At 41.9% G+C, this 15,481-nt stretch overlaps 1 long non-coding RNA gene across 1 annotated transcript; it reads right to left on the bottom strand.

Moving 5' to 3' along the window:
* Positions 1-6,461: 6,461 nt before the first annotated feature.
* Positions 6,462-15,069, bottom strand: LOC105375466 (uncharacterized). The gene is made up of 3 exons (XR_927896.2): positions 14,932-15,069; positions 14,432-14,573; positions 6,462-6,820 (listed from the first exon to the last, which is right to left on the bottom strand). It is a non-coding gene; the product is annotated as an uncharacterized LOC105375466 (long non-coding RNA).
* Positions 15,070-15,481: the final 412 nt, after the last annotated feature.

The following is a 15,481-nucleotide window of genomic DNA, read 5'->3' as shown; positions in this document are numbered from 1 at the left end:
TTCCCTTAAACGGAGTTTTGTTTTAGAACGTTAATGGGTTGAATGGGAGGCCCCAGCAAAGTCTGTCCACATCCCCAAACCTGTGAGTGTGAGCTGCTTTGGAAGAAGCGTCTTTGCATATGTGATCAAGTGAAGGATCTCTAGATGAGATCACCCTGGATTATCCAGATGGACCCTAAATCCAGTGACAAATGTCCTTGTGAGAGACACACAGAGGGGAAGATGTGAAGATGGAGGCAGAGATTGGAGGGATGCAGACTTAAGCTAAGGAATGCCTGGAGCCACCAGAAACTGGAAGAGGTGAGGCAGGATTCTTCCCTACAGCCTTTGGAGGGAATGTGGCCCTATTGACACGTTGATTTTGGACTTCATGCCTCCAGAACTGTGAAAGAGTAAATTTCTGTTGTTTTAAGCCACGCAGTTGGTGGTCATTTGTTACAGCAGCCCAAGGAAGCTAATATAACATACTCATCTCCTTTCACTTCACTGGAAATATGGAAAGCTAGGTGAAAACCAAAAAAAAGATGGCTTTGGATGTCCTCATGATTTTAGGCTATCAGAGCCAGAAGGAGAACATTCATTCACCTTCTCAACAGAGCATGCTGCTCTGTGGGAAAACAATTTCATCTGGTCACAGTGCCACCAAATACTCATCTGACCTCACCATTGACACTCAGAGTGCCTAAGCTCTAGGCTTGTTGGGACTCTTGAAGGGAGCTGTTCTCAACGAGGAGTGATTTTGATCCCTAGGGGACATTTGACAATTTCTGGGGCATTTGTGGTTGTCATAACTGTGTGGGATGGGGTTTGCCACTGAAACTGAGTGGATAGAGTTCAGGAATGGTGTTAAATATCCTATAATGTACAGGACAGCCCCTCACCACAAAGAAGTATCTGCCCTAAAATATCATTAGTGATGAGTCTGAGAAACCCTGTCCTAAGGGAACAACTTCTTTTTTTTTTTTTTTTTTTTTTTTTTTTTTTTTGAGACGAGGTCTTGCTCTGTTGCCCAGGCTGGAGTGCAGTGGCATGATCTTGGCTCACTGCAACCTCTGCCTCCGGGGTTCAAGCGATTCTCCTGCCTCAGCCTCCTGAGTAGCTGGGATTACAGGCATGTGCCACCATTCCCGGCCAATTTTTGTATTTTTAGTAGAGACAGGGTTTCACCATATTGGCCAGGCTGGTCTCAAGCTCCCGACCTCAGGTGATCCACTCGCCTCAGCCTCCCAAAGTGCTGGGAATACAGGCATGAGCCACTGCACCCAACCTGGGAACAACTTCTTTCTAAAAGAATCTTGACACTTCTCTGTCAGGGTAGGAAAACAAGAAGAAAGAAGGAGGCACTCCACAAACCCTTCTGGACTATTTTCTATAATTATTATTGTGGTAAGAACAGATAACATGAGATCTATCCTCTTCAGCACAATGTCCTATAGCCGAACTTACTTATCTTGCATAACTGAAATTTTGTACCCATTGAAGAGCAACACTCACTTCCCCCTCCCCAGCCTCTGGCAACTACCATTCTACTCTCTGCTTCTGTTGGCTACTTTAGCTACCTCACATAAATGGTGGAATCATGCAATATTTGTCCTTCTGTGACTGGCTTATTTCACTTAGCATAATGTCCTCAATGCCCATCCATGGCAGGATTTCCTTCTCTTTATGGCTGAATAATATTCCATTGTATGAATATAGGATATTTTCTTTATCTGTTTGATATGGTTTGGCTGTGTCCCCACCCAAATCTCATCTTGAATTCCCACATGCTGTGGGAGGGACCCGGTGGGAGGTAATTGAATCATGGGGGCAGGTCTTTCCTGTGCTGCTCTCATGATAGTCAGTAAGTCTCATGAGATCTGATGTTTATTATAAGGGGGAGTTTCCCTGCACAAGCTCTCTCTTTGCCTGCTGCTATCCATGTAAGACGTGACTTGCTCCTCCTTGCCTTTCACCATGATTGTGAGGCTCCCCCAGGCATGTGAAACTGTAAGTCCAATTAAACCTCTTTCTTTTGTAAATTGCCCAGTCTTGGGTATGTCTTTATCAGCACCATGAAAACAGACTAATAAACACCATTCATCTGTTGATGGACACAGGTTATTTCCACATTTTGAATATTGTGAATAATGCTGCAATAAACATGGGTGTGCAGATATCTCTTTGAGGTCCTAGTTTCAATTCTTTTGGATAAACACTAAGAAGTGGGATTGCTGGGTCATATAGTGACTCTATTTTTAATTTTTAAAGCAAGCTCAAAACTGTTTTCCATAGTGGATGCAGCAATATACATCTCCACCAACAGCATACAAGTTTTCCAATTTCTTCACATCCCCACCAACACTTACTTAAATTGTCTTTGATTAAATTATCTTTTGATTTTTTCTTTGATAAGGCCCATCCTAACAGGTGTGAGGTGAGATGTCATTGTGGTTTTGAATAATATTTCCCTGATGATTAGTGATGTTGATGTCCTTTTATATACCAGTTAATCATTTGCACATCTTTTTTGGAGAGGTTTTTATCCAAGTCATTTACCCATGTCTTAATCAGGTTATTTGGTTTTTTGCTATTAAGTTGTAGGGATTCCTTATATATTTTAGATATTAACCTCTTATTAGATGTATGGTTTGCAAATATTGTCTCCCATTCTGCAGGGTGACTTTCATTCTAGTTTCCATTGCAGAGATAGAAGCTTTTTAGTTTGATATAGTTCTTCTCATCTATTTTTGCTTGTGTTGCTTGTGCTTCTGTCATAATACCCAAGGAATCATTGCCAAGACTAATGTCATAAAGTTTCCCCCTATGTTTTGTTCTAGGAGTTTTATAATTTCAGGTCTTATGTTTAAGTCTTTAATCCATTTTAAGTTAATTTTTATATGTAATATAAGAAAGGGGTCAAATTTCATGCTTTTGCCTGTGGATAACCAGTTTTCCCAACACCATTTGTTGAAGAGACTACCTTTTCCCCATTGTGTATTCTTGGCAATCCTGTGGAAGATTAGTTGACCATATATTTATTATTGGGCTTATTTATGGGCTCTATATTCTGTTCCATTGGTCTATTATGTCTGTCTTTATACCAATACCATGCTGTTTTAATTACTGTTGCTTTTTAATATATTTTTAAATCAGGAAGTATGATGCCTTCAGCTTTGCTCTTCTTTCCCAAGATTGTTTTGGCTATTCGGAGTACTTTGTGCTTCCATATGCATTTTAGAATTGTTTTTCTATTTATGTAAAAAATAGCATTGGGATTTTGATTGGGGATTATACTAAATTTGTAGATTGCTTTCAGTAGTATGCACATTTTAACAATATTAAGTTTTCTAATCCATGAACACAGGATGTCTTTTATATTATTTGTGTCTTTTTAAATTTCTTTCATCAATGTTTTCAGCATACAAGTCTTTCACTTCCTTGGTTGTTTAGATAGTTTATTCTTTTTTTTTTGTTTTGTTTGTTTGTTTGACAGAGTCTCACTCTGTCACCCAGGCTTGAGTACAATGGTGCAACCTCGGCTCACTGCAACCTCCGCCTCCCGGGTTCAAGCGATTCTCCTGCCTCAGCCTCCCAAGTAGCTGGAGTTACAGGCACATGCCATCACGCACAGCTAATTGTTTGTATTTTTTTTTAGTAGAGACAGGGTTTCACCATGTTAGCCAGGCTGATCTCAAACTCCTGACCTCAGGTGATCCGCCTGCCTCGGCCTCCCAAAGTGCTGGGATTACAGGCTTGAGCTACCATGCCCAGCCTATTCTTTTTGATGCTACTATAAATGGGATTGTTTTCTTAATTTGGATAGCTTCTTTTTGACCTCCTGGACTATTTATGTCTTCCAGTTCCAGAAGTCTGTGGTTTGCAGTAGGATATGGACTATGGATGAGGTGTGGAAAAACAAGCAAAGAGCTGGGATTTCTAGCCTCAGACCTCCTCTTCTAGCTGGTCTCTTTCCCACTCACACATGGAGAGAATTTTCAAAAAGTGGCTATGGTAAATTGGCTCTGAACACACTTGATGAAACATTTCGTTTCTAACTACTGAACTACAGTGTGCAAAGAGTGTCAGGGCCCCAGCCATGCACCCTGAGGGTTTTAGTTCTTCCACCATTCAACCCAGGGAAGAAAACACATCTAGAGCTCTAACCACCCGTCTCTCCCGCCCTCCTTCCTCCTTCCATTTTCCTTCTGCTCAGCATCTACTGACCACACCAATGCAAACATTGTGCTAAACACTGGGAATGAAAAGATGAATAAGTACATAACTAATAGAAGGAACAGAGAGAGACATTAAAATAGGAAGTGTTGAGTGCTGTAACAATGGTATCAACAGAGGGAGAACTTTTTTAAAAATTTCCTATACTTGACAGGGCAAATCAAATCAAATTTCAGGATTCATATGTTCCAGAGGGGAGAGGGAGAAAACAGCCGGAAAGATAAAGTTGAAACAAATATCTCAAAGCTTAGTTCAGTTTTCTCTCCTGTGGCAGAAAACTGATGTAGGATGAGTACGCCTCCTCGTTTTCAAAAACTCAGTGTGTTTCTTAGTATCTGGTTAGACCTCTTAGAATTAAGAGGCATCTAGAGATATTTTTGAAGGCAAATATACAAGTCTTGAAAATCTACATGTATAAAAATGTTTCCCACCGAGACCCAAAAGGAACTTACTGGTCTCACTGTGGATGCCATAGGGCCCCTTTGGTTTGGGGTTTTCAGTGGATATAATCACATTTGTCCCAGGCAAAGACATTAAGGACTGGGACAGCTGTCATGACTCAAATTCTCTGTTATTGGGATCATGTAGAAAAGGGAGGCAGATTTCCCAAAGGATCTTTTGAACTTGTCTTTGGCTGTGGTGGCCATTGATTAGGGGGCAGTCTCATTTGACATTGTGATTAAAACACCTACTTGCCAATACCTTGGCAATTTTTAAATGCTAGTATTTTCTGAAGTTCCAAGATCCTAGGCAAATATGGGCAAAGATGTTCAAAGGAGTTGATGAAGGGAAGGGGGGCACTTTGTAGCCCTTGCATATGAAAGCGCAATAACAGTGCCATTTGAATAGTTGATACCCCTTCCTGGTGACAGCTGCAGGCACATCAGAGCTGGGGACTGCTCAGCTAATTGAAGTGCCCTGTAGGTTCTCTTTGCCCTCAAGAACTTTTCTGATAAATAGCTCTTGACCAGCTCCTTATATGGCTACAGACAGCCCCAAGAGGCTGAGATGTATTTTGGACACAATCTGATTCTCATTTGTCAAGGGTCTCAGGCCTTCAGCTTTGCAGCCAAGGGAGACAGCAGTGGGCTCCAGAGACCCTTGTGCCCTGGCCCTGTTGCAGTCACTTTTCCTCTGAAGATTCCCCCTTATCTTAAAAAAGAGAGGTGCCTGGGGCTCGTCACATCGTGTTGGGCAATGGCTAAGATAATCTGAGAGAAAGTATGAGGGGGAAATCAGAACTGGCAAAGTTGCACAGGAGGAAAGTGGCTCTTGACTCATTCACCTTTTGAGAGCCTTTGGGGCCCACTGAGAATCATTTCACAAGCCCCCTTGGGTATGACATACAGGCTGTCTATTTCTGCTTGTTTACTACTTAGAAGAGCCGCACCAGAGGAAAGTGTTATTGGCGCTGCCTGGCATCTGCCATGTGAAGACTGTATCTGGAGACGGCACATGAGGACTTTGTCCCAAGGACTGTGGACCTTGCCACAGGCCACAAGCATGATGAGAACATTGGGTTTTTTTCTTGATCACTGAGGAACTGGATGAAACCCAATGCATAATATATGTTAATTGAATGAATGAATGAAACAAAGAAGCTGGTGGCTCATGAGAGCCTTATGCTTGGATCCTGCAGCAAATGGAAATAAAACTAGGTTGTCATGGTTGATTCTGTTGAAGTAACTAAAAGGATGACCTCCCACGGAATCCCTGAAACTGTCTGTTAATGACCCTACAACACAGATGGTCAAGAGCATGATAGCCACAGAAGACAAAAACTCATTTTGATGTTCATGTTGCAGAAGGAAGGATATTTTGGCTTTTTTCCAAGGATCTTGATGGTTTCTGGCATCCCACATCCCCTAGTCAGGGTGTCCACTCATGTGCCAAACCAGTGCCAGCCCCTGGAAGGCTGCATGCACTCTGTCAAACAGCTGCCCCTTCTCACCTCCCCTCAAGAAACTCTAGAGCAAGAACACATTCTACCTTCCCCAGGTAGACTTTTCTTACTGGAGGGCACATCTTCCCTGAGGAGTATAAAATAGGAGGGGAAAATACTTCCAGGGAAAACAAGAAGCGGGAATGGAACAGACAACCCTTTCGGGCTCCACTCATGGCAGCCCATATTTAATGTGGAACTGGAACTGTGGAGTGAGAGCTATTTGGAAACATATACCCAGGAGTGGTGCGAGCTGTAATATATGAACTGACATGTAATATACTTAACATCACATTGCAACCAGGGGAGCTATTTTTTAAGAATAAAACAATGAGAGAGAATAAATATCATTAATGCAGAATGAGTGACATGGGAATTCCCAAGGAACGGGGGATTTTCTGAATCTGACATCAGACTCTAATTCTGGAGAGACTATCTTAGTTGTCACTAACCTGTTTTTTAAAAAATAATGTAACATGTAATTTGTTAGATATAAGATCCAAAGGCCTTGGGTGGTGAGAGGGTTCCTGAAAAGCCCACTTGGCGGGGTTTCCACTTGGTGTTGCTCTCGGAAGAGTGGTCGTGACTGACTGGTCACCACAGCCAAAAAGCCAGCTCTTAACAGGCGCCCTCAGGAACAGTCACTGGCTTTTTCTTGGATGTCTGGAGAGAGAACAGAACACATGAATTATGACAGCTGCCCCAGTCCTTAATTTCTCCACTTTGTTCTTCTGCGTAGGTGTCCATGGGCGGTTAGAAGGCCCCAGGGCCTTCCTGGGGGTCCATGGCCCACATTCAAACCCAGCACCAAGGGGCCTTCTAAGCAGGTAGGGAGTGGGCGCAGAGCACACGATGCCCAATCAGGAAGCACAGCCACGCTTCGCTGTTGGATGCAGCCAGGGATTCCTCTCGGAATTCTGTCTGGCAGGTCCCCACCTGGTCAGGATGGATGAGACACTCAGAATGACCACACTACACATCTTGTATGTGGAACCCTTCTTTTGGTCAGCATTGGTCTAGTCCTGTTTTCCAAAATGAATGCTGTGAGATGTTAAAAGTCTTCTTTATAAAAGGAGAGAATGCCCCATGATCTAATTGGGAGGAGAAGTGCTAGGTTAAACAGGATTCTTTATTATGAGATTTTTCAGGGTCTTTGAGATGGGGATTTTCCAAGAGAATGGTAAAGTTTGCAGTGCATCACTCAAAAGGCATTTCTCTGGACTAACGTTTCTCAAAACCCATTGTGGGAACCCTGGTCTATATTCATTAGGGGAGCCTCTTCCTGTTTTGAGTCCACAGCATTACACTTGTTTTTATGCTTAAACCATCTAATCTAGGAAAATTAGTTCCTGATCTCCTGGAACAATACACATGGCTGGAACATGAAGAAAAATGTCCATCTTGTCTTTTGAGATCTGTTCAGCTCTGCACCTTTCTGGGGCATTTGAGGGGCAGTGTTCCCTGGCGCACTTTCCCAGAGGTTGAAGATCCGCCAAGGAGTAATCTGCTTCCAGCTAAAGAGACTGGGTAGGTAGGGAGTGGAGACAGGTGTGTGACATCCCTCAGCAATCCTGCAAAGTGGCCAGGGCCCAGGACCTCACGGGCTCATGCCCACCTCCTGGACTCACTGCTTGTTCAGGGGGGATGATAGCATTAGTAGCAACTTTACAGAGTGGTTTGAAGGATTAAAACAGTTACACACATGTGATGGTTAATTTTATGTGTCAATTTGAATGGGCCACTGGTTGCCCAGATTAAGCACTGTTTTTGAGCATGTCTGTGGGGGCTGTTTCCAGGTGAGATTGGCATCTGGATAGGTGGACTCAGTAGGCTGCCTTCCCTCATGGGGGTGGCCATCATCCTGTTCACTGAGGGCCTGAATGGAGCAAAAGGCAGAGCACAGAGGAATTCGTCCCTTCTTTCCTGCCCGTGAACTCAGACATCCCATCTCATGTTCTCCTGCCCTTGAACTGGGGTGAACATCATTGGCTCCCCATGTTCTCAGTCCTTCAGCTTTCCTGGGTCTCTAGCTTGTGAGCCAAAGGGTGTGTGTGTGTGTGTGTGTGTGTGTGTGTGTGTGTGTGTGTGTATTAATATCTGCTATTGTTGCTGTTTCTCTGGAGAACCCTAACAAAGCAGATTGAGTACCTTGTACAGTATTGATATATGGATAGACACAATAAACATTAACAATTGTCATTTGGGTAGTGTGGAATAAGAAGAAAAAATATCTCCCAGATAAAACCTTATTGGCAAAGTTTGCACAAAGGTTCCTCACTCATTAAGCTGATGTTCCAGGAATAGAATACATTTCATTTCATTTTAACATTATTTCTCCCTGGACTTCTGTAGAACGATGCTCCCTTCTGGTCGAGTGCTGCCATCTTTCCTTCTCTTAGGATCTAGTCTGTCCTGCCTTCCTGCCAATATTTATTGTATTATATTCTAGAATAGAGAATGTCTAGTTCTAGATCATGAGGGAGTGAAGATGAATGTCACAACGTGGAACTCAAATCCCCTGTGGTCCAGAGGAGTAGAGCGGGAGAGAGACAAGGACAGGTACAAGTGACGCCCGGTGGGAAAGTATTACACTGAGGGTTCAGCTGGGAGGACCTGGCCATCGACCTGACATGCAAGAGGCCCTCAATACATTTCAGTTGAATGAGGGAATGAGTGAAAAAAGGAATCTAATTTGCACTAGATATGAAGGAGGTTGTCTGGTTTGTAGGGCATAGTATTTGTGAGATATTAATTCATATTTTCTCCTTGCATCCTTCTTTTTGCCATTTCAAGTGGGATTTTGGAGTTTGGAGCTCTTTATCCCAGAGAGTTGTCGAGGAGAAAAACAGAAGCAGCCTGGAAAAGCTTGTGGCTGTCGGAGGTGGGGGGCTGGGGGGATGGCCCCCACTGCCGAGACGGCCCAGGGTGTCCAGGAGGCAGGCTGGAGAGGTGAGAGGCATAACGGGGTGGTCTGTGGGCCTGCAAGTGGCATCCAGACCTCAGAAGAGGCAGCAGGGGACACACATGGGGAGCCTGGCATGGGGGGCCCGGGGGTCCTGTGGCCTGAGCATGCTGCAGAAGCAGAAAGCTGAGGACTTCAGGGATGCTGTGGGCCTGGATGATGCTATGCTGTCAGAGACACCTAGGATACAGGTGTCTGAAGGCACATCCGCTCTGGAGGTGGAGAGCATCCTGTTCAGGACTCACGTGACATTCCCTGCTGGCTTGAGGGGATGGGGCTCATAACAGGAAGGAGGTGGTTTTAAAGAACATTAAAACTATATATATATATATTCCTTGCACACTTCCTAAAATTGTAGCCTATGCCCCCTTCCCTGAACAAACATACACCATCTTGAGGCTTGCTTGCCCTTTTACAATGGCCAGTTGAGGTTTTCAATTCCAAAGATTTTCTTCCTAAGGTTGGTCACGCACAAGCCGAGGATAAATGGGACTGTGAAATTGACTTAAGCTGAATAGAACCAGAGACAAGCTGGAGAAGGAGGGGAAGAAAACTTCCTTCCTGTCTTCTTTGCTCCTGCTAAAGAATTATAGATATTGCTGTAAGGAGATATAGAGATTACCTGAAGTTCTCCTATTCCTCCAGCCTCTGTGGCTCTCCAGAATTTTCTTGATAGAGGGCCAAGCTGCCTCTGCTTGAACATTTCCATTTTGGCCAGTTCCTGTCTGCTCAGTCTGTTATCCCAGATCCTCAACATCCAGAACTGCAAGATGAGTTCCTTCAAACGCTGGTTTACACCTCCACACCCCCTTCCCCTTTTAAAATTTCAGTTCCTACTACAGCCAACTAGAGCTGTCACTACTGCAGAACAGAAGCCAAATAGGTGATGTGAACATCTTAGAGGCACCGCATGTCCCTCATTTTCAGCGCTTACTTGGGGTACTACGTTCCTGTGTTTACTCAGCTCTCCGGTGACCCAGCACACAGATTTGTTTCAGCTTGATGAAGTGCATGGTCATAGGACAAGAAGGAGAGGAACCAGGAGAAGAACAGTGGAAGGAACACGAACATGTTTTAAATACTTTAACTTGCCCTTAAAGTTTCACATGGAAAAAAGGTGTAATTAAAAAAAATAATTATAGAAATACTGACAGAAATGTAGAAGTAATGCCTGGATGTGATGTATCAGGGTTTACTGCACTTAGGGGCAGGCAGCTGAATACCTTTGATGTTTTCATTAGATATTGCAGAATTACATCAAAAATAAACTCACTGAAGTCAATAATTGGAGAACCAATTACTATTAAATGTCCAAAAGTGGTCACTCCTAAACAAAAAGAAGCCAAAACAGAAATTTCTAAATTTCTATAAAAGAATGACAAGGAGAACACTTTAATAGCAAAATGTACAAGACAAGAAAGCTACACTCGGAGAAGAATTGATTGGTTTAAGAACCTGCCTTTGAGAAATAAAATAAAAATGAACCAATTATTCACTTAAGGAAATTAGAAAAATTATAATTCTTATTAAAAAAGAGCAACTAGGAAGAATAAATACATAGATGAAAGCTGAAAAATAAAATATATGGCAAAAAGAATGGTTGAAGTAATTAGTAAATAAAGAACTTGTTTCTTTGAAAGAACAAAATAGATAAATCTTGTGAGGCTGATTAAAAGGAGAAAAGAGCAAAATTATAGAAAATTAGAAATGAGAAAAGAAGAATAACTAGAAATACAGATGAAATTAAATATATAAATTATGAACCCCTGTCTCTGTGAATAATGCATTCAACACATTTGAATGCATTATTTCCTATATAAGTATACAATCAACTGAACACAAAAAGAAGTGAAAAATTTGCATACACTGATCACCACAGAAGACAGTAAAAAAAAAATGCTCGAAAACCAACCGTTAAACCCTCAAAAAACTGGATATAGAAGAGAAATACCTTAACATAATAGCCATATACAAAAGACCCATAGATAGTATCATACTGAATGGGGAAAAACTGAAAGCCCTTCCTCTAAGATCTGGAACATGATGAGGATGCCCACTTTCACCACTGTTATTCAACATAGTACTGGAAGGCCTAGCTAGAGCAATCAAACAAAGAAATGAAGGGCATCCAAAATTGGAAAGAAAGAAGTCAAATTATCTTTGTTTGCAAATGATACGATCTTATGTTTGGAAAAACCTAAAGACTCCACCAAAAAAGCAGAACTGATAAACAAATTCAGTAAAGTTGCAGGATACAATATAAGCATACAAAAATAAGTAGCATTTCTATATGCCAACAGTGAACAATGTAAAAAAGAATTCAGAAAAGTAATCCCACTTACAGTAGGCAGAAATAAAATTATAATAAATTCCTAGGAATTAACCAAAGAAGTCAAAGCTCTCTATAATGAAAACTATAAAATACCAATGAAAGAAATTGAAAAGCACATCAAAAATGGAAAGATATTCCATGTTCATGGATTAGAAGAATCAATATTGTTAAAATGTCCATACTACCCAAAGCAATCTATGGATTCAATGCAAACCCTATCAGAATATCAATGACATTCTTCACAGACATAGAAAAAACATCCTAAAATTTATATGGAACCACAAAAGACCCAGAATAGCCAAGGCTATCCTAAGCAAAAAGAACAAAACTAAAGGAATCACATTACCTGACTTCAAATGATACTGCAGAGCTATAGTAACCAAAACAGCATGGTACCGGCATAAAAACAGACACATAGACCAATGGAACAGAATAGAGAACCCAGAAACAAATTTATACACCTAGAGTGAACTCATTTTCAACAAAGGTGCCAAGAACATACACTGGGGAAAAGACAGTCTCTTCAATAAATGGCGCTGGGAACATTAGATATCCATATGCAGAAAAATGAAACTTGACCCCTATCTCTTGCCATATAGAAAAATCCAATCAAAATGGATTAAAGACTTAAATCTAAGACTTCAAACTATGAAACTACTACAAGAAAACGTTGGAGAAAGTCTCTAGGACATTGGTCTGGGCAAATATTTCTTCAGCAATACCCCACAAGCACAGGTAACCAAAGCAAAAATGGACAAATGGAATCACGTCAAGTTAAAAAGCTTCTGCACAGCAAAGAAAACAATCAACAAAAGGAAGAGACAACCCACAGAATAGGAAAAGTATTTGCAAACTACCCATCTGACAAGAGATTAATAACCAGAATATATAAAAAGCTCAAACAGCTCTATAGGAAAAAAATCTAATAATCTGATCAGAAAATGGGCAAAAGATTTGAATAGACATTTCTGAAAAGAAGACATACAAATTGCAAGCAGGCATATGAAAAGGTGCTCAACATCACTGATCATTAGAGAAATGCAAGTCCAAACTACAATGAGATATCATCTCACCCCAGTTAAAATGGCTTATATCCAAAAGACAGCCAACAACAAATGCTGGTGAGGATGTGGAGAAAAGGGGACCCTTGTACACTGTTGGTGGGAATGTAAATTAGAATGACCACTAAGGATAACCATTTGGAGGTTCCTCAAAAATCTTAAAATAGAGCTACGATATAAACTAACAATCCCATTGCTGGGTATATACCCAAAAGAAAGGAACTCAGTATATCAAAGAGATATCTGCACTCTCATGTTTATTGCAGCACTGTTCAAAATAGCTAAGATTTAGAAGCAACCTACGTGTCTATAAACAGATGAATGAATAAAGAAAATGTGTTACTTATACATGATAAAGTACTATTCAGCCATAAAATTGAATGAGATTCCGTCATTTGCAACAACATGGATGGAACTGGGGCCATTAATGTTAAGTGAAATAAGCCAGACACAGAAAGACAAACATCACGTGTTCTCACTTATTTGTGGGATGTAAAAATGAAAACAATTGAACTCACGGACATACAGAGTAAAAGGATGGTTACCAGAGGCTGGGAAGGGTAGTGGGGGTTTGAGGGAGAAGGTGGAGATGGTAAATGGATAAAAAAAAATAGAAAGAATGGATAAACCTACTTGATAGCACAACAGGGTGACTACTGTAGTCAATAATAACTTAATTGTACATTTAAAAATAACTAACAACTAAAAAAGTATAATTTGATTTTTTGTAACACAAAGGATAAATACCTGAGGGGATGGATACCCCATTTTCCATGATTACTATGCAGCACATGCCTGTATCAAACATCTCATGTACCCCATAAACATATACACCTATGTACCCACAAAAATTAAAAATTAAAAAAAGTTTAAAAATCCACCATTAGAGCCTGAAAATCAGATGTTTCATGTCTTTTCCCTAATCCTGTAACGGCAGATAATGTCAGTGTTTATTTCAGGCCATATGAAGATATGGAAAGCTTCTCAATTCTTTTTAAAAACATTTTTAGAGACTGAGTCTCCCTCTGTCACCCAGGCTGGAGTACAATGGTGCAATCACAGTACACTGCAGCCTCCAATGCCTGGGCTCAAGGAACTTGTCCCACCTCAGCCTCCCAAGTAGCTGGGACTATAGGTGCACATCACCACACCCAGCTAAAATTTTTGAATGTTTTATGTTTTATTTTGTAGCCTTACTATTCTTGCCCAGGCTGATCTCAAACTCCTGGGCTCAAGAAATTCTCCTGCTTCAGCCTCTCAAAGTGCTGGGATTACCAGTATAAGCCACAGAGGCTGGTCTTCTCAATTCTTTTATAAAGCCATAATAATTTTGATGCTGGTAAGTACTGATAAAAGAAGTGTATTTGTCCATTCTCCCATTGCCATAATGAAATACCTGGCACTAGGTAATTTATAAAGAAAAGAGGTTTAATTGGCTCACAGTTCTGCAGGCTGTACAGGAAGCATAGTGGCTTCTGCTTGGCTTCTGGGGAGGCCACAGGAAACTTACAATCATGGTGAAAGGTGAAGGGGGAGCCAGAAAGTACTTCTCATGGCTGGAGCAGGAGGAAGAGAGAGCGGGGAGGTGCCACACACTTTTAAACAACCAGATCTCATGAGAATTCACTATCACGAAAACACCACCAAAGGGAAAAATCTGCCCCCAAGATCCAATCACCAGCACCAGGCCCCACCTCCAATATTGAGGATTACAATTTGTCGTGAGATTTGGGTGGGGACACAAATCCAAACCATATCACAAAGTTTAAAAGAAAAACCAAACTGGCAGATCATTCCATTTGGTCATATTGTCTTTTTTCCTGTATCCATTGCTAGATTGCATTTGCTGATATTTAATTTAGAATGTTTACATTTGTATTCCAACACATACACATAAGTTGAGACTAAGGAACACTTACTGTCCTGCTGGAAGGAAGGGTCTTTATAAAGGAAGCCCATCGGAATGGATTTTGATGCACCCTCATATAGAAATCAAAGCAGAAGGCAGAAGACAACCTGGATTCCAGTTGCCATCTCTGTCAGAAGTCAGGAACCATGGACCTTGGTCAGGAAGTGTAAGAATGATATATAAATAATCATCTTTAAAACTTCTACTGTGTTATTTGAGTTGCTCTGGCTCTACCTCTCCACATATTTGCATTAAATGATTTACAAAGAAGAGAGCCTTAATGCTTGTCCTCAGGGGCAGCAAAACAAGGCAAGACCTGGGAAAACAGCAACCTCCCTGGCATCCAGGACTGGGGAGGTGAGAATTGCTAGTGTGAGTTGTGAGTGGGCTCAACAGTTGAGCAGAGTAGTTGAGGAGGGGGTCTTGACTCTGGGTCATAAGGTGCAAGGTCTAGGAAGTTCACATCATTTGCTTCTCTCAAGTTCAGGGAAGGTGTCTCTCTCTCCTCACCTGATTAGCCCTTGATAGAGTTTGGATATCTGTCCCTATCCAAATCTGATGTTGAGTTGTAATCCCAAATGCTGGAGGTGAGCCTGGTGAGAGGTGTTTGGATCATGGGAGCGGATACCTCATGGCTTGGTGCTGTCTGATAGTGATTCTGGTCATTTAAAAGCATGTGGGCAGGGCGCAGTGGCTCACGTCTGTAATACCAGCACTTCGCGAGGCCGAGGCGGGCGAATCACGACGTCAGGAGACGGAGACCATCCTGGCTAACGCGATGAAACCCCATCTCTACTAAAAATACAAAAAATTAGCCGGGCGAGGTGGCAGACGCCTGTACTCCCAGCTACTCGGGAGGCTGACGCAGGAGAATGGCGTGAACCCGGGAGGCGGAGCTTGCAGTGAGCTGAGATCACGCCACCGCACTCCAGCCTGGGCGACAGAGCGAGACTCCGTCTCAAAAAAAAAAAAAAAAGAAAAGAAAAAAGCACGTGGCGCCTCCCCCTCACTTTCTCTCTGTTGCTCTTGCTTTCACCATGTGATGTGCCTGTCCCCACTT

This window comes from Homo sapiens, chromosome 7 (genome assembly GCF_000001405.40).
Source record: "Homo sapiens chromosome 7, GRCh38.p14 Primary Assembly".
In the NCBI taxonomy this organism is placed as follows: Eukaryota; Metazoa; Chordata; class Mammalia; order Primates; family Hominidae; genus Homo; species Homo sapiens.
Note: the sequence above shows the minus strand (reverse complement) of the source record. Positions and strands in the feature narration are given on the sequence as shown.